The sequence below is a fragment of the Homo sapiens genome, chromosome 4, assembly GCF_000001405.40.
Source record: "Homo sapiens chromosome 4, GRCh38.p14 Primary Assembly".
In the NCBI taxonomy this organism is placed as follows: Eukaryota; Metazoa; Chordata; class Mammalia; order Primates; family Hominidae; genus Homo; species Homo sapiens.
In genome coordinates, this window is record NC_000004.12 from 177,845,671 (window position 1) to 177,870,531 (window position 24,861).

A 24,861-nucleotide genomic window follows, 5' to 3' on the forward strand; every position below is an offset into this window, starting at 1 on the left:
GAATGGGAGTTCACTCATGATTTGGCTCTCTGTTTGTCTGTTGTTGGTGTATAAGAATGCTTGTGATTTTTGTACATTGATTTTGTATCCTGAGACTTTGCTGAAGTTGCTTATCAGCTTAAGGAGATTTTGGGCTGAGACAATGGGGTTTTCTAGATATACAATCATGTCATCTGCAAACAGGGACAATTTGACTTCCTCTTTTCCTAATTGAATACCCTTTATTTCCCTCTCCTGCCTAATTGCCCTGGCCAGAACTTCCAACACTATGTTGAATAGGAGTGGTGAGAGAGGGCATCCCTGTCTTGTGCCAGTTTTCAAAGGTAATGCTTCCAGTTTTTGCCCATTCAGTATGATATTGGCTGTGGGTTTGTCATAGATAGCTCTTATTATTTTGAGATATGTCCCATCAATACCTAGTTTATTGAGAGTTTTTAGCATGAAGGGTTGTTGAATTTTGTCAAAGGCCTTTTCTGCATCTATTGAAATAATCGTGTGGTTTTTGTCTTTGGTTCTGTTTATATGCTGGATTACATTTACTGATTTGCGTATATTGAACCAGGCTTGCATCCCAGGGATGAGGCCCACTTGATCATGGTGGATAAGCTTTTTGATGTGCTGCTGGATTCGGTTTGCCAGTATTTTACTGAGGATTTTTGCATCAATGTTCATCAAGGATATTGGTCTAAAATTCTCTTTTTTGGTTGTGTCTCTGCCCGGCTTTGGTATCAGGATGATGCTGGCCTCATAAAATGAGTTAGGGAGGATTCCCTCTTTTTCTATTGATTGGAATAGTTTCAGAAGGAATGGTACCAGTTCCTCCTTGTACCTCTGGTAGAATTCGGCTGTGAATCCATCTGGTCGTGGACTCTTTTTGGTTGGTAAGCTATTGATTATTGCCACAATTTCAGATCCTGTTATTGGTCTATTCAGAGATTCAACTTCTTCCTGGTTTAGTCTTGGGAGGGTGTATGTGTCGAGGAATTTATCCCTTTCTTCTAGATTTTCTAGTTTATTTGCATAGAGGTGTTTGTAGTATTCTCTGATGGTAGTTTGTATTTCTGTGGGATCGGTGGTGATATCCCCTTTATCATTTTTTATTGCGTCTATTTGATTCTTCTCTCTTTTTTTCTTTATTAGTCTTGCTAGCGGTCTATCAATTCTGTTAATCCTTTCAAAAAACCAGCTCCTGGATTCGTTAATTTTTTGAAGGGTTTTTTGTGTCTCTATTTCCTTCAGTTCTGCTCTGATTTTAGTTATTTCTTACCTTTTGCTAGCTTTTGAATGTGTTTGCTCTTGCTTTTCTAGTTCTTTTAATTGTGATGTTACGGTGTCAATTTTGGATCTTTCCTGCTTTCTCTTGTGGGCATTTAGTGCTATAAATTTCCCTCTACACACTGCTTTGAATGTGTCCCAGAGATTCTGGTATGTTGTGTCTTTGTTCTCGTTGGTTTCAAAGAACATCTTTATTTCTGCCTTCATTTTGTTATGTATCCAGTAGTCATTCAGGAGCAGGTTGTTCAGTTTCCATGTAGTTGACTGGTTTTGAGTGAGATTCTTAATCCTGAGTTCTAGTTTGATTGCACTGTGGTCTGAGAGATAGTTTGTTATAATCTCTGTTCTTTTACATTTGCTGAGGAGAGCTTTACTTCCAAGTATGTGGTCAATTTTGGAATAGGTGTGGTGTGGTGCTGAAAAAAATGTATATTCTGTTGATTTGGGGTGGAGAGTTCTGTAGATGTCTATTAGGTCCACTTGGTGCAGAGCTGAGTTCAATTCCTGGGTATCCTTGTTGACTTTCTGTCTCGTTGATCTGTCTAATGTTGACAGTGGAGTGTTAAAGTCTCCCATTATTAATGTGTGGGAGTCTAAGTCTCTTTGTAGGTCACTCAGGACTTGCTTTATGAATCTGGGTGCTCCTGTATTGGGTGCATATATATTTAGGATAGTTAGCTCTTCTTGTTGAATTGATCCCTTTACCATTATGAAATGGCCTTCTTTGTCTCTTTTGATCTTTGTTGGTTTCAAGTCTGTTTTATCAGAGACTAGGATTGCAACCCCTGCCTTTTTTTGTTTTCCATTGGCTTGGTAGATCTTCCTCCATCCTTTTATTTTGAGCCTATGTGTGTCTCTGCCCGTGAGATGGGTTTCCTGAATACAGCGCACTGATGGGTCTTGACTCTTTATCCAATTTGCCAGTCTGTGTCTTTTAATTGGAGCATTTAGTCCATTTACATTTAAAGTTAATATTGTTATGTGTGAATTTGATCCTGTCATTATGATGTTAGCTGGTTATTTTGCTCGTTAGTTGATGCAGTTTCTTCCTAGTCTCGATGGTCTTTACATTTTGGCATGATTTTGCAGCGGCTGGTACCGGTTGTTCCTTTCCATGTTTAGTGCTTCCTTCAGGAGCTGTTTTAGGGCAGGCCTGGTGGTGACAAAATCTCTCAGCATTTGCTTGTCTGTAAAGTGTTTTATTTCTCCTTCACTTATGAAGCTTATTTTGGCTGGATATGAAATTCTGGGTTGAAAATTCTTTCCTTTAAGAATGTTGAATATTGGCCCCCACTCTCTTCTGGCTTGTAGAGTTCCTGCCAAGAGATCTGCTGTTAGTCTGATGGGCTTCCCTTTGAGGGTAACCCAACCTTTCTCTCTGGCTGCCCTTAACATTTTTTCCTTCATTTCAACTTTGGTGAATCTGACAATTATGTGTCTTGGTGTTGCTCTTCTTGAGGAGTATCTTTGTGGTGAACAATAAACTTTTTTAAAAAAAAATATCTATTAATATAGAAATTCTCATCTGCATGGATTTTAATATCTTCAAATAAGCTACATCACATTTTTGCACAAATTTTAATTGGCTTCTTCCTACTTATAGTTTCAGCTGCTACTATAAAAGCAACTTAAAAACTTCATTTGTACTACCTGCCGCTGTGTTTAAAAATTCATTTTTATGTATTTTCCTTAAGGCACTTGTTATAAATTATTTAACAACTCAGCAATATTGAGCTATCTTTTTATGCTTACCTCTGTTTAATAAGTGATGGAATCCTTGCCAATGAGAGACATTGGTTTTATTTGGAAGAGGGAATATAACCAGTCTTCAAGTGTTATTATTGCTCCTTGGTAGCAGAGACCTGGTGTGGGCTTTACAGATGTTATATTTTGTGTTGGATTCTTTACTTACTGTATACATACTTTTTTTTACTCCAAAAAGGTTTTTAGAGACAGGGGTCTCACTGTGTTGTCCAGGCTGGGTTTGAACCCCTGGCCTCAAGCAATCCTGCCTCAGCCTTCTGTGTAGCTGGGATTATGGGCATGAGCCACTATGCATAGCAGTGCTTACTGTTTTAAATTACTTGCACTACTATCACACTAAAGGCAGCTGTGATAATTGTTGGTGGTTTCCTTTGATTTTCTTTTGTTATTACAAATTGCAGACTCTCTTGATTCTTGTAGTAAACTTGAGAGTTCAGAGTGAATTTTCTTGTCTTTCGTCCTACCACCCCTTTAAAATACTAATTATTTACCTCTGTAATAAAGTATCTCATACTTGAAATGCATAGTTTCTTCTAATATTTTATGACCAACATTTTATTAATACAACAATCCAAGTTATACCCTATTATTTTTCTGTTTTTTAGTTTTTCATGTAAGCAAATATATAATATGCAAGTCATAACAGTTTTTTTTTTTTTTAAATATGGCTCTCTAATTCTTAAGTCATCAATTTATTTTTCTTATCTTAGTGCACTGGCTAGGTCTTCCAGTATAATAATAAACAGAATTGGTGGCAATTATTCTTTTATGATTTTAAAAAGAATTCTACTTACATTTCATAAATAAGAATTTTGTATACTGTGATATATTAGTAGAAGTCCTTTACCCCTTTTCCAGGATAATTGTGTAACAATGTATTTTTTGGTTTGTTAATAATTTTATTATCGATGGGTAATACCTTTTTCAAAGGTTTTTGTTGGTCGGTTTGTTTTTAGGAAATAAGATTTAAATTGAAATTCAATTTATTTAAAGTTATAGGTCAACATAGGTTAACTAACCTATAATGAAACAGCCTGATATGCTCTATAACTTTTAGAGAAAATAAATGGCAGTTTATTTTTTCTGGAACTGCTTTCATTTAAATTATATATATTTTTAATTTATACATAAATTATATATAATTCATATATTTTGTATATATTTTATATAATATTTTATATATTTTTTAAAATTTCTATTTTCTGACAGAAACTAATTCATTTTAAATTTCTGCTGTAGTGTTACTTTTCTTCAATTTCCTGTCTAATATTTTTTGTGACTTCTCTATTTCTTGGTTTATCTATATTATTAAGCTTCAAAAATTTGTCTTCATTGCTCCTTTTCATCTTTAATGGTTATTTTAAATTTCAATTAAGTCTGCTTTGATTATTGGTTTCTTTGTTTTCTGTGTTTTTTTTTCTGTTTCTCCAACTATTTTTTAAAGATTGATTACTTGGCTAGTCGTGGTGGCTCACACCTGTGAACCCAACACTTTGAGAAGCTACAGAGGGAGGATCCCGTGTGCTCAGGAGTTCAAGACCAGCCTGGGCAACATAGTGATATCCTGTCTCAAAAAAAAAAAAAAAAGTTGGATTATTTCCTTTCCCTCAAATTTGTACGTTCTTTTGTCTAATGTTTTAGTTTTTATATCTTTAAACTTCATACTTTCAATTCATTACAGCTAGGTATACACAATATTTATTTCTATTTTCAAACATGTTACCGTAATATTTTCTCACTCTCTATGCATGTCAGACCTTTCTGGTATCACTGTCTTCCTCCGGAGACATATGCTTTAGAAGTCCCTTTAGTGAAGGTCCATTTCTGCCATTTCTTGTTTTTTTCTTTATTTTAATATCCCAAAATGAGTTTATTTTACTGTCATTTATAAACAATAATTTCTTGTCAGGTTGTAAGTTAACTTTAAAAAAAATCCCTTTGATGATTTCACTGTCTTCTTGCTTAATGCTTGCCATTGAAAAGTCAGTAATTTTAAGTTATATGCATTTTTTTTTTCTCCCTGGATGCCTGTAAAAAAGAAATTGTGTCTGCTTCTTCTCAGATTCAGGGATGGCACAGGCTTGGAGCTAATTTAGTCCACTTTGTGGGCAATGTCTTAATATGGGAGTTCAGGGTTATGTGGCTCAGTCAGCCCAGCTTGTCCCGGGCCTGAAGATGACTACTGATCTCGGGGCTTTTTGCATCCCCTTGAGTCTTTAAGCTCATCTTCCCCAGCTCCAGTTTCAGCCTGTTATTTGTTTAACACAGTCATTTACTTTATTGTTTCTGGTGGCTTTTTTTTTTTGTAGGTGATTTTCTCACATTTCATTTACTATATATTGAAAATATTGTTACTTTAAAATCTAGGATCTAGTTGTTTGATATTGTAGAGGTTCTCAGAGTACCTACATCTCTGTACAACCAGAAGCAAATGTTCTTTCATGAATACAGTTTTATTCTAACACAGTCACATGATTAATTTATGTATTGTCTAAACACTATAATTATAGATTTAAGTAGTTGTAATATAAAGCGTACGGCCTACAGAGCCTAAAATATTTACTATGTGATCCTTTACAGACAATTCTTTGCCAACCCTTGACAGTTCTACATGACTAAAAACTAATTTACATCTGCTCCATTGTCTATGCTTAACATTTACTGCATCTTTGTATCAATTAACATGCTTTCAGTTGCACGTAATAGTCCCAATTCATGACATTTCCAGATTTAATAAACTGATTAATTCAGCAACTTACACAACATTATTAAAGACAGTTTATTTGATTTCCTGAATCATCCTCAGTGTGCTAGTCTTTGTTCTCCAGTTCATGGTAGTAAGATGGCTGCTAGATGATCATGCAGACACAGTAGGAAGAGATCATTTCCTAATGTTAATCTTTTTGTGTATCAGCCAGGAAAAGCCTTTCCTGAACCCATCCCTCTGCACATTTTCCCTCACATCTAAGATAGTGTTATCTGTTCATACCTAAACCTGCCACTGGCTAGAAGAGTAAGTGTCACGATTAATGTAGAAGTCAAGTTTCTGCTGCAATAATGGCATGAAGCAAACATTCCCAGTATTTCAATGGCTTCTATTGTGAAATATTTCTCCTCACAGGTCTGCAGGTCAGATAATATAGCTTTTTCTTTAGAATACAGGTCAGGCTAAGGTCCTTTCCACATTCCCTCTCTTTGAAACTGTTGCTGATTGGGTTATGCTTTTCTAATGGGGGCAGATAGGATCTCCAAGAGGGCAAATAAAACCACCCAGGCACATTTAAGGCCCTCGTAGGGCCTGGCATACATTATATCAGCTCTCCTTCATTGGCCAAGGCAAGTCACACAAGTTCAGTATTAGTATAGGAAAAAAGACCTCTTAAGGGGGAAGCATAAAGTCACACGATAAATGGTATGGTTATACAATCCTATTACAGGGAGGGATAAATGATTGAAAACCATAATCAATCTTTACGACTAGCTCAAATAAATCAAAATTTTGCTCTTGAATTGAGTAGAGGATCAAACTCCCAGAAATATTACCACTACTTGATATGATCACGAAATAAGTTTTGTTATCAAAAGATAAAGAATGGATGCAGCTTTAGTCTTCATTTGCTTCATTCCAAGTGCTGTTGCAATATTTCCCGTACCTGAGGAAACTCAAAGGGATGGCTTTAATGCTATCAGAAATCTGAGTCCTTAGAGTAAGAAAATAAATACAAAATATTCAAAAATTGCTTGTACTAAATAGCGCATATTGACAACAATAGTCAAACATAATATGCCACTATTTTCTCCATAAACAAAAGTCCCCCAAATAAATCGCATCTCTCCAGTCTTGTCACTTAGAAATAGTAACTTAAATATTTTCCATTTAAAATAGTCTAGAGACTCAAATTTCTTACTGTTGTCATCTTTCACACATGAAAACTGTTTCAATTTTTTTTTTCTAATAGTATTGCTTAAAACACTAATTTCTTCCTACTTTTTTTTTTTCTTTTTTTGTTTTGAGACGGAATCTCACTCTGTCGCCCAGGCTGGAGTGCAGTGGTGGGATCTTGGCTCACTGCAACCTCTGCCTCCCGGGTTCAGTGGGACTACTGAGTAGCTGGGACTACAGACGCCCGCCACCATGCCTGGCTAATTTTTTGTATTTTTAGTAGAGACTGGGTTTCACCGTGTTAGCCAGGATGGTCTCGATCTCCTGACCTCGTGATCCGCCCGCCTCGGCCTCCCAAAGTGCTGGGATTACAGGCATGAGCCACTGTGCCCGGCCTCTTCCTACTTTTTACAAACTGTATTTTTTAATCAATGATATAAAAACTGACTTCTTTTGTATAAGTTACTCTTCTTACTATTTTTCTGATATGATTGTCAAAAGACATGATCTTTTATGACACTGAACCTTGAGGACATATTTATTAACCTTTTTCCTTAGAAGTTAATAAAGGGAGGTTACTTTCCAGTAGTTGATCTTATTTTTAAGATTTGCTATAAGTTGTAAAGAGTCATTCAAAATAAATCATTTTTCAACCCATCCCTCCAGTCATACCGATAAGAAAGGCATTTTTTTCGATCATGTCTTGTTAATGAGCACATTCTTTGGGGATGCCTCGGTCCTAATTACAAGTGGGCAGGCAGCCATGAGTGCAGGCTGGAAGACCTGGTGAGCGGCAGGCCAGGGAAAGCATGCGGTGGTGCTGGGGGCACCCGTGCGGGACAGAACTGGAGCTGACTCTAAGGCTCCAGGGAGCAATGGTAAGCTGCAAAATGGTACTAAGGGAAGCACACAGAAAATTACCAGAGAAAGACAGATGGTTGGGATGTCCAAAGCTAAGAAGAAATCTCTAAAATGACTAGTGAGAGGGAAACGGTAGATGGAGTCCCTGAGATAAAAAATAAATAATAAACTAAGTGTCTGCACGAGGCAAAGCAACAGCTAGATGTCACAGTGCCGAATGGCAGGCAAGTCCTCCAACAGCCTAATTCGTAAGGGTACAGCTGCCAAGGAGGGTCAAACCAAAGTAAACTCTCAAACCTAAGTATTACCAGTTAGCATCCTATCTTAGGGTCACAAGTGAAAATTTCAAGGGTTGGGAAAGTGATTGTTATTATTGTCAGTTCTCCCTCTGTTTTGTGTAGGTGAACTCATTGTTCAAACAATACTGAGAGAATATGCAGACAGTGGTATACAAAGTTGAAGAAAAACATTTTGAAGATATTTATCTTTTGAAAGGTATTTCTACCTAGACCCAACTCGGTTAAGCTGTTAATGCAACTTCTATGTATCAGGTTTTCCTCTGGAATTTAACAGCCTCTTATTTTCTCCAAGGACCTTTGGCTGTTAAACAGTGTTCATGTAAGCCCACACCACTGGCCAGAAGAGGCATGCTCAGAAATCACCATTGAAAGCCCCAAACGTCATCAAGGAAAACCAGTAAACATAAGAAAAGTTAGGGATGAAAGACACCTGGTCAGTTTTTCTCACTCCCATGCCACGTCAGATTTACAATATGGATTACGTCAGAGCTATTCATCTGGATTACGGTGAGTGTCAGTTTGCTATGTGCTAAGTACCACAACCTGGGTATCTTCAACAACAAATTGCCTCAAAGTTCTGGAAGCTGAAAGTCTATAATCACTATGTCAGCAGGTTTGGTTCCTTTGGGGGCTTCAAAGAAGATTCTCTTCTATTCCACTCTCATAGCTTTCAATGGTTTGTTAGCATCTTTCTTTGAAATCCTTTGGCTTGTAGATGTAGCACCCCTACATCTCTGCCTTCATCTTATTTGGTGTTCTTCCCGTGCATGCGTCTCTGCGTGCACCTTTCTGCTTTTTATAAGGATACCAATCGTATTGGAAAGACCTACCCTAATGACCTCACTTTACCTTGATTGTGCCTGTAAATATCCTATTTCTAAATAAGGTCATATTCTAAAATACCGGGAGTTAGGATTTTAATACATCTTTATGGAGGGCACAGTTCAACTCAGAATGGGTGCAAGAAGCTGAGGAATATGTCAAATACAATTTATTGCATGTCTTTTAGAGATCACTTCCATTGTCCATGTATTAATGGTGAGAAAATTGAGGTCGAGACGAGAGAAATTACTTGCTCAAGAAGGATCATTAGAATGGTCATAGGTGGGTCTAGGCCGGAAGCAAGTCTCTTGATCTCCAGCACGATGCTTTTGAAGCTTCATTGTAAATACCACTAAACATTATTTACCCTTTAGATTAGTGCTTCAGAATTTTTGGGTCACATAGTCCCTTTGAGACTGTGAAGGAGTCTCTGAACCCTCTCCTCGGAAAATGGCTGTGAACAGAAACCACCCCAGTCTTATACAACTTTCAAGGACATCTTTGAACCCTATCTCTAACTATCCTCTCTCCAGATTTTCTTTAGTCAAGTCATCTTAAGTATGTTTTGATTCCTGAGAAAATTGCTTAAAATGCTATAAAATTGTCTGAAATAGCAAGAAGAACATGTTGACTTTTGGCTTGGAAAAAAATGCATACTTATCCAGAGTGGGAAATTTCCCCCTTATGGCCTTTGCACTGATCATAAGTGAGAAGTGGCAGAAAGAAAGGGACTGTGTTCAACAACGTGATTCTCATCACATGCCAGCTCCTTCAGCTTTCTGTTTAACAGTTGGGCAGGTAGGCTTGCCTAGGGTTTTGCATTGATGCACTGTAAACATATTCGTCTTAGTTACGAAACTATAGAAAGCATTTAAAATAAAAATAAACCTCTTTCCAATTTGCATTGCACATAGTGGATTAATTTGTCCAAAGTCCATGCTATTTAAATGAAGTTTACATTTTCCAAATGTTTAACAATATGAAAACGAATATTTCACTTGAAAGTCTGAAAGCACACCATTAGAGTCATTCAGATACATGGATGTTACATCTGGAATTTTATTAAAATTCAACGTTTTTGGCTGCTGTCCTCTGGCTCTGAGCATTGGCCCCATCCTGTTGTCATAGCTCTCATCTGACTTGTTCCTCCACAGGAACTTTCCTGCTTTGGAAGCCTGGGGTACACGATCTAAGGCCTAAAAGCTGCTTGCTTTCAGCTAGGACTCCTTCCAAGTCCTAGCATGTCAATATGCTTTTACAAAGATCGCTATATCATGGCTTACTTTTTTATCATTGCAACAACAATGATAGTTAAAAACAGTGTTCAGAGCAAGGTTTGCTCTTTTCAGCAGTTTCTTCTCTCCAAATTGCTTCTTCCAATTAACAAAAAGGAGTTGAAAACCCCATTTCCTGCAGCCACCTGTGGCCTCCCTTTCTTTAGGATAAATTTCTCTGGCACAATCAAGAGTTCCTGTAAGCTCCTGGGTTCTTTTTGAATGGAAATTAGGTAAAATGAATTTTGATTCTTTTTCAGATCTGGGGTAGTGGTGGGTGTTGGATGTAAAATTCCCTGATTATATTTCAATCATCGTCTCACATCTTTTTTATAACACAACCTCTGATACTTTTAAATTCAAGATATTGACATCATTTTGCCGGTGAAACAGATGCTTTGGCACTGAATTTGGAAGTATATACCTTGGGTGATACTTTCACATCTAGCGGAGATTAAATACGGATATTGACAAGGTGGCAATTATCATTTGAACTCAGACACGGAGGCTCACTTTGCAGCTAATTTGGCACAGAAAAAAATTGTTCTAAACAATCAAAATTTTAACCAGAAGTTTCAATATGTATTTCACATTCTTTAGAGGGCTTGTGAAAGCCTATATAATTTGAACTACCCTGACTTTTCAGTTTCTTCCTTCGTCTAACTCTCTAAGCTGCTAGAACAACCACAGTCCATACTGAACTTTGTGCACACGGAGATACTGGATGAACAACGGACAATGTCCAGACCATCTCTGGAAACAGAACCCTGACCCACACCCCTTCAGCAACCTGCCAGGAAGGCCAAGCCACAATCTCTGTGGCAATTGGCTCAGGACGGTAAGGACTTGCTCAAAAACTGCCAGCTTCTCTATTTTTTTGCCTCTGTTTTTAACTCAGGACCAACAAGAGATAGCTAAATATGCTCACCAATCAGATGAGAATTTTTACATATAGGCTCTGTCCTGTGTTTGTTTAAAACCTTGGTTTTTCCTTGGATTACAGTGTTTCCATAATTCTGTTTTTTTAACCTATCTATAGCTTCTATTACATTACATTATATACAACTTTTGCGTTTTTCTTAAATGTGTATATTTTTAATACTTATGTTTCCTAGGATATAAAAAATTTTGAATTTTCACATGTACGTGGCATTCTTCTTTCCATAGCTGGCAGGACTTCATCTCCCATTGCACACCTCTTCGAATGTTGAACACTGTCTGACACACGGTTTTAGTTGCCTTGATTATATATGCCCAATACCACCCTATCATTTGCTATTCGATTCCTGACTTTTGCTTGAATTTCCTATGTTTACTTTTGCTATGTTGTCTTGATAACAGTATTCTCTCATTCTCAACTGAATTTCTTCCCAGTAAGGTATTGTGGTTATCTTTGAACAGTGTTTCTCAAACCTTAATATTAGTATGACCCACCTTTGGATATTGTTAAAATGAATATGCGAATTCATTACTTCTGGGTTAGGTTCACATTCTGAATTTCTCCTATTGCCCAACTCCCAATGCTCTTGGCCCACAAAATGCACTTTGATACATTTTGTTTTCCAAATCTGAGAGATTATAAAAAATTTCTGAGGATATAGATACATCAATGTCTATATATCTACATCTACATACACACACACATACTACACAGGCAGTTGTTCCTCTATATCCGTGGGTTCCCCAACCAAGGACTCAAACAACCACAGAGAAAATGTTGTTAGGCCTAGGGCAGTTGTATCTGTACTGGACGTCTACTGACTTATTTTTTGTCATTATTCCCTAAAAAATACAGCATAACAACTAGAGTCACCCCTTGGTACATGTGGAGCATTAGTTCTAAGATACCCCACCCCTGTGGTCAAGTCTCTAATATAAAATGGTATAGTATTTGCATTTAACCTATGCACATTCTCTTGTATACTTTAAATCACCTCTAGATCACTTATAATAGCAAATACAATGTAAGTGCTATGTAAATAGTTGTTACTCTGTATTTTTAAATTTGTATTATTCTTTGTTTTATTGCTATTTTTTACTTTATTCTTTCAAATATTTTTGATCTGTGGTTGGTTGAATTTGCAGATGTGGAACTGGAGGTTATGGAGAGCCTAACTTCTTTCTTTTTTTTTTTTCTTGAGATGGAGTCTCGCTCTGTCACCAGGCTGGAGTGCAGTGGTGCGATCTCGGCTCACTGCAACCTCTGCCTCACGGGTTCCAGCGATTCTCCTGCCTCAGCCTCCCGAGTAGCTGGGACTACAGGCACCTGCCACCACGTTAAGCTAATTTTTGTATTTTTAGTAGAGACGGGGTTTCACCATGTTGGCCAGGATGGTGTCCATCTCTTGACTTCATGATCCGCCCGCCTTGGCCTCCCAAAGTGCTGGGAGTACAAGTGTGAGCTACCACGGCCTACCTTATTTCTACAGCATTTACACAGATTTGGATCAGTCCATTCCAACTCATCCCGCTGACTGAGTTAGCCATGCTTATCTTGTCATCATCCCCGCACTCTATACTCACCCACATGAAGACACACGCAGTCGTGTATAACCATTGCATTTGGTGGTGTGACAGGCTCTGGCTTATGGTTGATTTTGAATTATATTATTTTTTAAAACTATTTTAGAATATGTCTATTTTCTAAATGTAGCACTTTACGGCATTTTATTATGTAAAACACGTGAAGGTCAGTGAAAATATTGAGGTCTTATGCAGCCAAGGTTAGAATTTAAAAGGTCTATATGTGAATCTGTCATTGTACTTTTAGAAAATAAAGGTGAAGGCTGGGTGCAGTGGCTTACACCTGTAATCCCACCACTTTGGGAGGCCAAAGCAGTGGGATCGCTTGAGCCCAGGGGTTCAGGATCAGATGGGGCAACATAGTGAGTCCCCATCTCTACAAAAAAACCCCAAAATTAGCTGGATGTGGTGGTGTGTCTATAGTCCCAACTATGTGGGAGGCTGAGGTTGGAGTATTGATTGAGCCCAAGAAGTCGAGGTTGTAGTGAGCCGAGATTGCACCGTGCTCTCCAGCCTGTGTGACAGAGTGAGACTCTTCTGTCTCAAAAAAAAGAAAAAAAAAATTTTTTTTTTGGTCAAATTCATATTCTGAGGTTTAGTCATTAATGTGAATGGGAGTAAGATTTATTCAACATTTACTTTGTGAAAGATACATTAGGCTTACTTAACTTCATGAATTTTAAACAATAATTTGTTGAGTACCTAAATCTGAGAAATTGTGACATTAGATTTCCATGCAGCATGCAGTGTTTTTAAAAGTTTTTAATACCTAGTTTTATTTTTACTATTAATGCTATGAATTAATATATTTTATTGTTGCAGTTAGTAACAAACTTCTTAAATTTTTTAAATAACATTCTTTTATACATTCAGACAAACAATTGGCTTTAAGAAAATTATAATAAACATCTGCAAATTAGATTCAAATATAAGAAATTATTTCACCATATCTAATTGTCTTATCTCAATGTGTCATTTATAGTTCAAGAAACTGTGACTCAAACAGATTGTAGTTTTTGTCTAGGATCATTTTCCAACAGTTGAAATAAGAGTTTAACCTGGGTCCTTCGATGCCAAAGCTGGGGCTGTAATCAGTATGGTCCAAGATTTTTACAATAGCCCTACAGAAATTCTAATTAGTTAACAGATATGCCATAAGTAATTTTATACAATGTAGACAAAACTATCTGATACTAAAAATGTGGAAGAACAAATGACTATTAATTGTAATCTGAGATTGCAAGTGAAGAATAGATCACTTTTATTCTGATGTTTTTAAAACTTCCAATAATTTTCATTTTTTCATTTTATGATACTCTTATCAAACACATCTGAGCTAAACAAACTTGATTCTTTTATCTGTCAATATTACTCATAAATTAAATGTGGGAAAAGTCAAATATTTGAATTATTGCCTCTAAATACATCAGCCAATTTAAATTTCATAATATGCCATTTCAGTTGCACATTTAATAGAATATGCTTGAAAATCTAAATTCGCATAAGAGATAAACTTGGGAATGAACTACATCATAATGGCTTTAAAATATCCCTAAAAGTGCTTTTTAAAGAAAAGAATAGTTCAGTTCACTGGGTATATATTTACATTTTATTAATATGTTGACAAAAGTCTAGTGCTTTGAAAACTAAAATCCAGAGAGTTGATTTTTGAGTATGAATGGTGATAAAACATAAGAAAGTTATGAAAATAACACTTGGGCAAAGTTCCAGTAAAATTAATTTTCAGTAGCTTAATGGTAAGAAACTTGGTTGTGATAAATAGATGGTGCATATACTCCAAATCCATGGGGGCTGGAGAGGTACAGTTGCTTACTCTATTAACATTATTCAAATAAACTAATCATGAGAAATGAACAACACAAAAGAAGTCTCAAAGACCATGTACTTTTGAAACTTCTCATTGGTTAGCTCATGGATTTTTTCTTTTTTTGGTGGGTCTGTTAGATCAGGTTTCCCACAAGGGTTGCAAGGGCATGTCAAGGATGATGAAGAGGTGTAGAGGAGTGAGGAGGGATTGCTGCTTTGTAGATCACCTCTCTCTAGATAAATGACACTTTTGACCAACAGTATTTTCAGCCTGGTATCAGGTTCTCTACAATTTAGTAGCTTAAGATGTGAAATTAAATTAAATTGAACAAGAACCAAACATTGCAGATTGGCATCTTATTCAAACTTGATCCAAAGACATGATAGTTTGATTTGTTTGATTATTATAAGCATTTATTTTTATTGTGCTTTTCATTTGTGTGGGAATATCCATGGCTAGCGAATAATCTTTGTAGTTTTCTATTACCTTATTTTACTTGCTAACTCCTGAATTCTTTAAGCCAAAAGCCCTGAATTTGATGGTTTTGAAGATCCCTTTGAAATCGAAATTCTAGAATCATATGCCATAGATAGAGCATGCCTGGTACAGAATTGTGAACTTGTAGCAACCGCTGCCACAAAACTGCTGGAATACTCCACTTATTAGGATGTAATTTTCATCAGGGTCTAGACCAAATGCTGCCATTGCACAGGACATCATACCACAAATGGGACCAAAGCAATGCAGCTAGTTTCTCAACTTTGCTTAGAGAAGTAAGCCAGATATGGCTCATTCTCTGCTTGCCTTCACCAGTGCCAGAAGTCCAAGACTCCGGAGAAGTCAATCATGACTCAGACTGTTCTCATACCGTGGTGCACGACCTGTGAGGTGACTCAGTATCCCACTTCCCCCTTCTTCTGAAGTCCTTTAGCAGTGGACTCTGGAACACCAATTTTTTGAGACAGAGTCTTGCTCTGTCGCCCAGGCTGGAGTGCAGTGGTGCGACCTCAGCTTATTGCAACCTCCACCTCCCGAGTTCAAGCGATTCTCCTGCCTCAGCCTCCTGAGTAGCTGGGACTACAGGGGTGCACCACCAGGCCTGGCTAATTTTTGTATTTTTAGTAGAGATGGGGCCTCACCATGTTGGCCAGGCTGGTTCCAAACTCCTGATTTCAGGTGATCTGCCTGCCTTAGCCTCCCAAAGTGCTGGGATTACTGGCATGAGCCACCACATCCGTCCTTGAAACACCAAATTTTTGACCTGCACGTTTCTTTATATTTTAAATCTGATCTTTGAATACTGCATTTTCCTTAGCCTTCCTGCCCCACTCAGGCACATTTTTTCTACAGCTATCTCAAATATGGCTCATTTTTCTCCGTGGAGGCCCATCGCCTATCAAGTTCCTCCCAGGTTCAGCCACAGCCACCGGGTTGCGGCTCCAGACCCCAGGATCCCTGTGCTCTCGGGGGCCCAGGAAGCCCCTTGCCCCCACAGGCTTGGAAGTGCCTGCTCCCATTCTCTAGCCTCTTCTTGCTCCCAGTGGCTGCTCCCGGGCGGAGCAAAGTTGTGGCTGAGCCCAGGCACCATCGTGACCTGGCCTAGTGTGCACGCATTTGGGGCGATGCTGACACGTCAGCCCCCTACCGCCTTGGCTCCCTCTGGACTTTGGCCACCAACGATCATGGGAGGAAGGCTGAGAGGATATTCAGGGCGGCTCAGCACGGGCCTGCAGAGGACCCTCAGCAAGAACAGCCTGGACGCGGTGGATGGCATGTTGATGGCACCAGGAGGTAGACAGGCTCTTGAGTGGAAAGGGGTGGGTCCCAGGTGAAATCCCACCTTCAAGCCGGGGATGGCCTGAAGACTGGAGGCTGGGCTGTCAGTTTTGGATGGAGTCTGTGGCCCAGAGTGAGAATTTACGGTGCTTTTTCCAGGCCGCCCATGGCCACTCATGGACCAATCAGCACACACTTTCTCCCTCCTGAGCACGTAAAAACCCCAGATCCACCTGACTAGGACAGACATTCGGACTACCAGCTGTGGAAAGGTGCTACCCACTACAGGTCTCCTCACTGAGAGCTGGACACTTGCTGGGCGACCTGCCTGCAGAAAGGACCTACCCAGTATGGGTCTCCTCTCCACTGAGAGCTGGGCTCTCCTTGGAATGACACACCTGCAGAAAGGAGCTACCAACTGTGGGTCTCCTCTGAGCTGTCCTGTCACTCACTAAAGCTCCTGTCTGTCTTGCTTACTCTCTAGTTGTCTGCATATCTCATTCTTCCTGGATACAGGACAAGAACTCGGGACCCACTGAATGGCGGGACTGAAAGAGCTGTAACGCAAACAGGGCCGAAGCACGCCCCCCCACCCTCCGCTCACCACGTTGGGGGTGACAAGAAGGAAAGAAGAGCTGCGGCCCTTCGGGGATTCTAGACCCAGGGGCTCCCTGAGCCAGGGGTGTGACACCCTTTTTGGGGCTCCGTGGTTCCTGGCGTCTCCAAGGTTCCGGCACCACTGCGTTCCCCTCATCCAGACACGGGTGCCCTCAGTGGAAGCTGCTTGCAGTACATCTGATCCAGTCACAGTCCTGCACGAAGCCAGTGCCTGTGCCGGCTCCTGGACCTGCCTGCCCCGCTGCAGTAACTGGCATGCCTGGCTGTGTGCAATGGCCAGACCCCATGCTTGCTTGCTCACACACCCCTTGCCACTCTGCACCTGGCTTGCCCTTGGTAGGCATGGGATCCAGGCTGCTAGACTGAACTGAGCTCAGCCTGCTAGGCTAAGTGGGCGGAACAAACCCAGTGGGCCTGAACAAGAACTCGGGCAAAGGCGCCACCGGCCACAGAGGTTTCCAGCTGGAAAAGTGACACCCTAAGGATTCCGAGACACTATTGGATTGGGGCCCAACTTTTATGACCTCATTCACCCTTCATTAGTTCCTAAAAGGTCTTATCTGCAAATATATTTAGACTTGGGAGGCCTTGAGTATATAAATTTGACAGGGGTTGGGTGGGGGGCGGGGACACAGATTAGTCTGTAACACCGGGTGATTATCTTTTTATACAAATACCCTCAATTTTCTTTTATTATTTTTTAAAAACTCACCCCAATGCTCATAAATATGTCTCAGCTACTGCTGGTTCCTTTTCTAACTAAACTTTAAATATTGGTTATTAGGAATTGCTCCCAGTTGCTCTTCTGTTTTTGCAATCTCTTACTAGATGATCTCTGTAAGGGCAAACACAAATTAAAATTAAGAGGGTTAATTTCCCCTGTTGAGAATAAGGAAAGAGAATTCTTGCCCCTTTCTTTTCTTATAGAATTACTTTAGAAAACTTGTATTTTCTTCATTTCTTTGAAATGTATTTAAATATTTTTAAAAGCTAAATAAACCTCTTGCCAGTTTTAAGGGAGAAGAATGTCTTTATCAAGGACCTGGAAAACATCTCTTTGGAATGTAAATATTAAAGGAAGATAAGTGCCTCCATCTCCCAGGTTCTGTGGGAGGGTAGGACCTAACTTCAGCTAAAGCTTGGCTCTAAGTTGCAAAACTACTGTCTATCATACAGATATGAGAAGTGTATTTTCCTTTATATAAAGCCACCTAACTAGTCACCCCAATCGCTAGGTGAATTGCTGTGTGTGAAAAATACCGCTGCCAAGTTCTTGACTTGAGGACTAGTCATTCTTTATCTTGAGGGCCTGAATGTAATGAGTTGTATCTACTTGGCTACATAAAGGGATAAGATTTCTTTCCATCTTTGCCATTTCTTAGCAAATTGCCTGGGATGTATATCACATTCTGGTTTAATACTTGTTCAATAATAAAATTGTTTTCTGCTATCTTTGTGGAGAGGTTATCCAGGATGGGAGGATAATTGGTTTTCAATTATATTTTCCTAATATCTCATTCATATTTTTTGCTGGCTCCCAAATCTGATCTCTGGCCAAGGCCTCTTCTCTAAGTCAGATTCTCTAGATTTCCACATGGATGTCTTGCAGTCATTTCAATTAAAAAAAAATAAAACAAACTCAAAATACAATCCCCAATGTTGTCTTCTACACCTTGTCATCACCAAGTTTCTGCCATTTCAATGTAACGTGCAACTGTTGAATGGTTCCTGCAAACACTATATTGACTTTTTTTCTTATTACACACCAGCTTTATTTTTTATTTTATTTTAGCAATGTGTCAGCAAAGCCTCTTGCTTGTATTTCCATTCAAGACCAATGTAATTTCAATGTAGATCTTGATGTTGTCATCTTCTCTGGTCTTACTAGTCTAACATCCTATAATTTTGTGATGGGAATATTGTAATATTGCTTATCTTTCTTTGTTGATTTTTACCTCTCCCTAAACTACATTCCACACCATAACACATTTTCTTAACAAGTCTGTCTCTTAACACAACAGTCTATTTGCAAAATGTGTTTGACCATAGGACAGTTTTGTAACTTTTGTGATTTTCATTGAGCTATTAACATTTCCATTCGCTCATTAATTCATACCAAAAATATTTATTAAGAAAGGACTGTGTGCCAAGAAGGTAACTAGCTTTACTTGGAATGCAAATTGATAAATATAACACTAAGACATACAATTAATTTATTTTCTTTGTGAAGTTATTTGATAAAATTAGAATTGATTTACCACCTACATGGTCAAATGTAATGCTGTTAATGAAAGTCAGTGCATTCCATACAATACCAACTTATTTATTAAGCATAAATCAGAGCTATGGCAGATGTGGCCAAGGAGATGCCCTGTACTGGACCACTCACTGTGTAATTAAATGTTCCTGTCTCACAGTGCTCTCCAAACATTACAGAGATTCTTTTTTTCTCTAATGAAAATAATTGTTTCTTTATAGTAAGTAGTCTACTGCTGTGATATTTCCAGGAAATGCATATTATGAAAAACTAGAAATTGAATCAGAAGCATAAAGTAGCCCATCAGCTGAACTCTCAGGATTCACAGACCTGTTGAGGTCCAAAGTGAAGTAGGTTGTAAAATCACTGTTATCTCACTGACAGGGTTAAAGTTTTTGAATATGTTCAATGAAAAATTGAAATATGAGAAGTAAGATAAAAATTCATGAATAAGATTGTTTTTATGCAGCACCTGTTAGTTTTCAGGCATTTATCTAGGCATCTCCAAAATTTGTGGTGCATCAGTGAATAAAATGCTCCTTTTCACTCTTCCCTATCTTACACATCTGGGCATGGGGAAATAGAATATAAAAATAAGCATGATGATAAGTAAATTGTAGTGTTATGTTATGAAAACATGACTAACAGAGAATTGTAAGGTGGATATAAGGTACATGAGTCAGGGTGCCAGATGGGGACAGCTAACAGGATTAAATAAGGTGGTGAGGGGAGGTTTTCTTGCAAGAGGATTTGAAGACAGTTGAATGAATTGAGAGTTTTAGCCAATGGGATATCTGGGACAATGAGATACCTGCAGAGGGGCCAGGTAGAAAAAAGGCGCTAGAGTGGGGACCTGATGAGTGTGTTTGAGGCACTGCATGGAGGCCAGTTGGCCTAAAGTGGAGTGAGCAGGAGAGAGGAGTAGTAGGAGGGAAGAGGAAGTAAGAATGGCAGCAGCGAGCCAGATTACCTATGGCCTTAGGTGTCATCAGGCTGTTGTGAAGACTTGGCCTCTAATTCTGTTTACGATGGGGACTCATTATAGGGAACTGAGCAGAAGAGCACATTGTCTCACTTATAGTCAAACAATCACTTGGCCGGGTGTGGTGGCTCATTACTGTAATCCCAATATTTTGGGAGGCCAAAGTGGGTGGATCACCGGAGGTCAGGAGTTGAAGACCAGCCTTGCCAACATGGTGAAACCCCATCTCTACTAAAAAAATACAAAACTCAGCCAGGTGTGTTGGCAGACACCTGTAATCTCAGCTACTCAGGAGGCTAAGGCAAGAGAATTGCTGGAACCCGGGAGGCTGAGGTTGCAGTGAGCCAAGACGATGCCATTGCACTCCAGCCTGGGCTGACGACAGTGAGACTGTCTCAAAACAACAACAACAACAAAAACAATCACTTTAGCTGCAGTGATAACTTTAGGGATGAAAGGAAGAAGAAAGGCAATATGTTAGAGGTTACTGCAATAACACAAATAATCGGTGATAATAGAGATAGACAGGAATTAGAAGTGGATTTCATGTGAGTGCTTGGTTTCTGGACATCCTGTGAAGATCAAGGCCCCTGATTTGCTTTTAGACTGGATATAGATTGTTAGAGAAACAGAATGACTCCAAGGTTTTGGCCTATGTCATTGGAAGATTTGAGTTGTTATCTACTGAGAAGGGAAGTCACAGATGGAGTAGTTTTTGTGTGTGTGGTTTTAGATTGTGTTAGTAGAGAGGATATCAGAAGTTCAGTTTGGTGTTTCTTATACTGAAGGCAACTCTGGGATATTTACGCCAATGCAGAAGTGGATAGGCAGATGGGGAGCTTCATGTCTGCAGTTTGAGAGATAGGTCTGGGCAAGAGATGGAAATCTGGGAGTTAACAGTTCATAGGTGGTATTTTAAATGATGAAACTAGTTGACAGCAATTGAATTAGTATAGGTAAAAAGGTAAAGAGAACTAAGGATGAAGCTTTGGGGTGCGCCAATATATAGAGTTCCAGACAACAGAGGAGAAATAGTGAAGAAAATTGTAAAGAAATGTAGTAGAAGGAAAACCAGCCAAGTCAGTTGTTTGAAGTACATTTTGGTGTAATCAATAATAACATTTTTTTTGTAGATTGATATGAAGGGATGAGGGCTGAACTAAGTCTCCATCAGGCTGATAGAGTGTGATGGAGAGGAAGGACTTGTGGCCTAAGTAGCTGCCAGTGGCTCCACACTGCAGCACTCACAAAGACCACATGCCTTAAAGCTCTGCTGTCACCGTCTTGACATGCTTAATAATTCAATAATTATTCAATTAGTATTTAAGAATAATTCAATACTTCAATTTTTAACAAGTCCTTCCATTTTAATTTTACATTGGGCCCCATATATAATGGGATTGGAGTATCTGATGATAGAGAATGTTGGGGAATTGCATTCTATTTTTAGATTATGTTTTAAGTATGTGATGTATAATACAGAAGCAACTTATTTAGAGATGATTTGGAAAAAATCATAGATCTTTTTCTGATTAAATCCCCTCCTCCCTGCCATTTCTTACAGTAGAGTTTCATAATCTTTTCCAAACAAAAATAGAATTTCTAATTGCTAAAAGACTTTATGTTATATGCATAGTTCTGCCAATTGCTTTCTGGATGGTAGATGTGTCTAATACAATATTTACTTGCTTTAGAAATAGATATATTTGGATTAAAATCCTTTCTCTGTTTTTTAATATTTGTGACCTTGAAAAAAGTATATAACATTTTTGAATTTCATTAACTTCATCCAAACAGTAAAATGTATAGTATCTTTCTTCAGAGAATATAAATAATAAACTGAAACGCCTGACACACACTAAGTACTTATTAAATGGTAGCTATTATGATGATTTCTTAGAAAAAATTGTTCCATGTCTTAATTTTCTCTCTTTTGAAACTCAAAAATATCTATATGCCTACCTTAAATTTGGGGAATTAAAAAAAGAGATAATGCATAATTTTATTTACTTGTATAGCAAAACAACTTATTTTTGAATAGGTAATCCAGGCTTACTGTATAAAATAAAATGGTATTATAAAAACAGTTGTATTGTGAAAGTTTCTATCCTCCAGTCTTTTAGCTCCCCTCCCAAAATTTAACCACTTAACATATTTCTCTGTATCCATCAGGATTCTTTTTGCCTTTCAAAAATGGTAGCATGCAATACACACTCCTGTTCCCCTTGATTTTTTTTTAACCTTGGCTTAGGTATTATACCTTTATCAATGCATATAGAGATTCCTCCTTTTTTTTCTCTAAATAGAGACTCTCTATCAAGGTGACCCTCCAAGAAGCATGGACAAAGCAGAACATGTTTAGGGGCTAACCACGGAGAATGTACTATTCACTTTTAAATACAAGTAAGAGATACCTAACAATACATAGGTTCTCCAAAGAGCTCATAGGTGGTATTTAAAATGATGAAACTAGTTCCCAGGAGACCCTGCGAAAAAGTTAGCAATAAACACTATCAGATCTAAAAAGCAGGATGCCAGTTGGTCAAATAAAACATATATGTATATTTTTTGCTCGTCCCTTCTACCTGTTTTGGTCCTGGAAGGGCCAAAGTTTATGGGTAGCAAGAGTGTAAATCAGCACAAGAACAAGACAAAAACAATTAAACCGGCCAATAAACTCCCCATCTTTAACATGGTTGGCAGTCACTAAGTCAAAGCTCTGAGAAGGGAGAATACCTATGACTACGAAAAAGTTTAAAGTTTAGTTATTGTTATGGGCTGAATTGTGTCCCCCCCAAAATTCACATGTTGAAGTCTTAACCCCCAGTAGTGGAATATCTAGTAAGCCCCAGTGCAACTGTATTTGGAGATAGAGTCTTATAAAGATAATTAAGATTAAATGAACTCTTTAGGGTGAACCCTAATTCAATAGGACTGCTCTCCTTATAAGAGGAGGAGATTAGAACACAGTCGCGGGGGAATGACTATGTGAAGGCAGAGAGACAATGGCCATCTAAAAGCCAAGGAGAAACAACCCTGCTGACACCTTCATCTTGGACTTTTAACCCCCACATCTGTGAGAAAACACTACATATATTGATTACTAACCCAAGGATACTTTGCTACATAAAGTGGCAAGGAAATTAACAGGACTTGTTTTAACTTCACCCCAAAGCCAAAAGAACTAGTACCAGGAAACACATTTAAAAGAGAAAAGGAGAAAAAAACCCAGTAAAGACACTTGAAAATGATATCTCATGAATCCTGCCTATTAAAACATTGGTTTGCACATAGATGCACTTCGGGAGAGTTGAAATTTTATGATACTTTTCTTAATGTATCCCCTGCCATTATTTGAAGTTATCTTTTTCCCTTTTAGTGATATTAAAAATGTCTTCATGTAGATTCTGGCTAGTTTTAAAATTTAGTTTTATATATTATGCATAAATCTAGTATTTTCTTCCGTAATATCTATATGGAAGTTTATTTTACATACAGGAAGGATATTGGTATGTTAATTTTGACTCCAGCTGCCACACTAATTTATCTCAATGTTTACATGACTTTTTTTAGTCAAATCTTTTGGATTTTGTATGTAAGTTATACAATTATTTGCAAATTGTGATAGCTTTATGTCCTCCTCTATGTCTTTTATTATGGTAATACCTTAAAAACTTTAAATGAGAGTAACTGTGGTAGACACCAAATATAAACAACTTTTTCAGCTGACGTAGATTTTGTAAAAACTCTTAAAGAAAAATACATATACTTAAAACAATATTTAAAAAATAAAGAATGGATACTGAATTATATAAAAACCTCAGTATCTATGGAGAAGATCACATCATTTTGATTTTGTTTTTATCCTATGGTGAATTATATTAATATGTTTCCTGATTTTGATATGTTCTTGCATGTATGGGATATACTCTGTGGTGTTTCTTACTGTTGATCATATTTGTTTATTGGTTTCAGGATTTTTACATTACTTAGCATGAGTAAAACAGATATATAGCTTTTAAAAATATATGTACTTTGGTGCTTATTGTCAGTTTTCTTGGACTTGATTAAAAAAAAAGAACTTGGGGCTTTCACTTCTGTTTATGCCACAGTGAATGTTACTGGACATACCTTCTTGACGTTAAATAAAACTAAAAACCAAAAAATTCTAGCAATATGAACAAGCTATATGAAACAATTATTTTTCAGAAATTGAAAGATAGGCAGTGTAGGACTATGACCCCTGAAAAAAGGGAAACAAATAATCTAAGCCATACAATCACCCCACATTACAGACTGCAGCCATTTCCCAGGTCATGGAGTAGAGGGGTAAACACAGGCAGAGCACAGGGGTCTCAATGAATTGCAGAGATGAGTCTCAGAGTTCAGGGAAATTGAGGCAAACTGAAATTTGGGGCAAAATATTTGAGGCAAGGTAGCTACCCAAATAAATAGCTCTAGAAATCTGAAAAAAAAAAAAAAAAAAAAAAAAAAAAAAACCCAAAAAAACAAAAAACAAAAAACAAAAAACTGGTTAAGCACTAACCACACATGGGAGAGAGTAAGACTCCACCAGACCAGCAAAAGAAGACATTCTGAGAAAGAAGTGCCAGGGACTTCTAAGCTAGAAAATGTCTACTACTCAAAGAGGGCTGTGAGGAGTTTGCTATCCAAACAGTCAGATGTCACAATGATATCA

General features: G+C 38.1%; 2 long non-coding RNA genes across 2 annotated transcripts in view, besides 2 other annotated features; one reads left to right on the forward strand and one right to left on the reverse strand.

The window, feature by feature from the left end:
• The window catches only part of LINC01098 (long intergenic non-protein coding RNA 1098), a 261,994-nt gene that overhangs the window by 116,914 nt on the left and 120,219 nt on the right, over positions 1–24,861 (forward strand).
• LINC01099 (long intergenic non-protein coding RNA 1099) overlaps positions 1–24,861 on the reverse strand; it is a 95,891-nt gene that overhangs the window by 33,625 nt on the left and 37,405 nt on the right. The window lies entirely within an intron of this gene.
• Positions 15,609–16,124: an enhancer, noted in NCBI's record as "H3K4me1 hESC enhancer chr4:178782433-178782948 (GRCh37/hg19 assembly coordinates)". NCBI's record gives its function as "activates a minimal SCP1, AML or CMV promoter by ChIP-STARR-seq in naive H9 embryonic stem cells {active_cell/tissue: H9 hESC(naive)}" and the evidence as "EXISTENCE:reporter gene assay evidence [ECO:0000049][PMID:30033119]".
• Positions 16,125–16,640: an enhancer, noted in NCBI's record as "H3K4me1 hESC enhancer chr4:178782949-178783464 (GRCh37/hg19 assembly coordinates)". NCBI's record gives its function as "activates a minimal SCP1, AML or CMV promoter by ChIP-STARR-seq in naive and primed H9 embryonic stem cells {active_cell/tissue: H9 hESC(naive and primed)}" and the evidence as "EXISTENCE:reporter gene assay evidence [ECO:0000049][PMID:30033119]".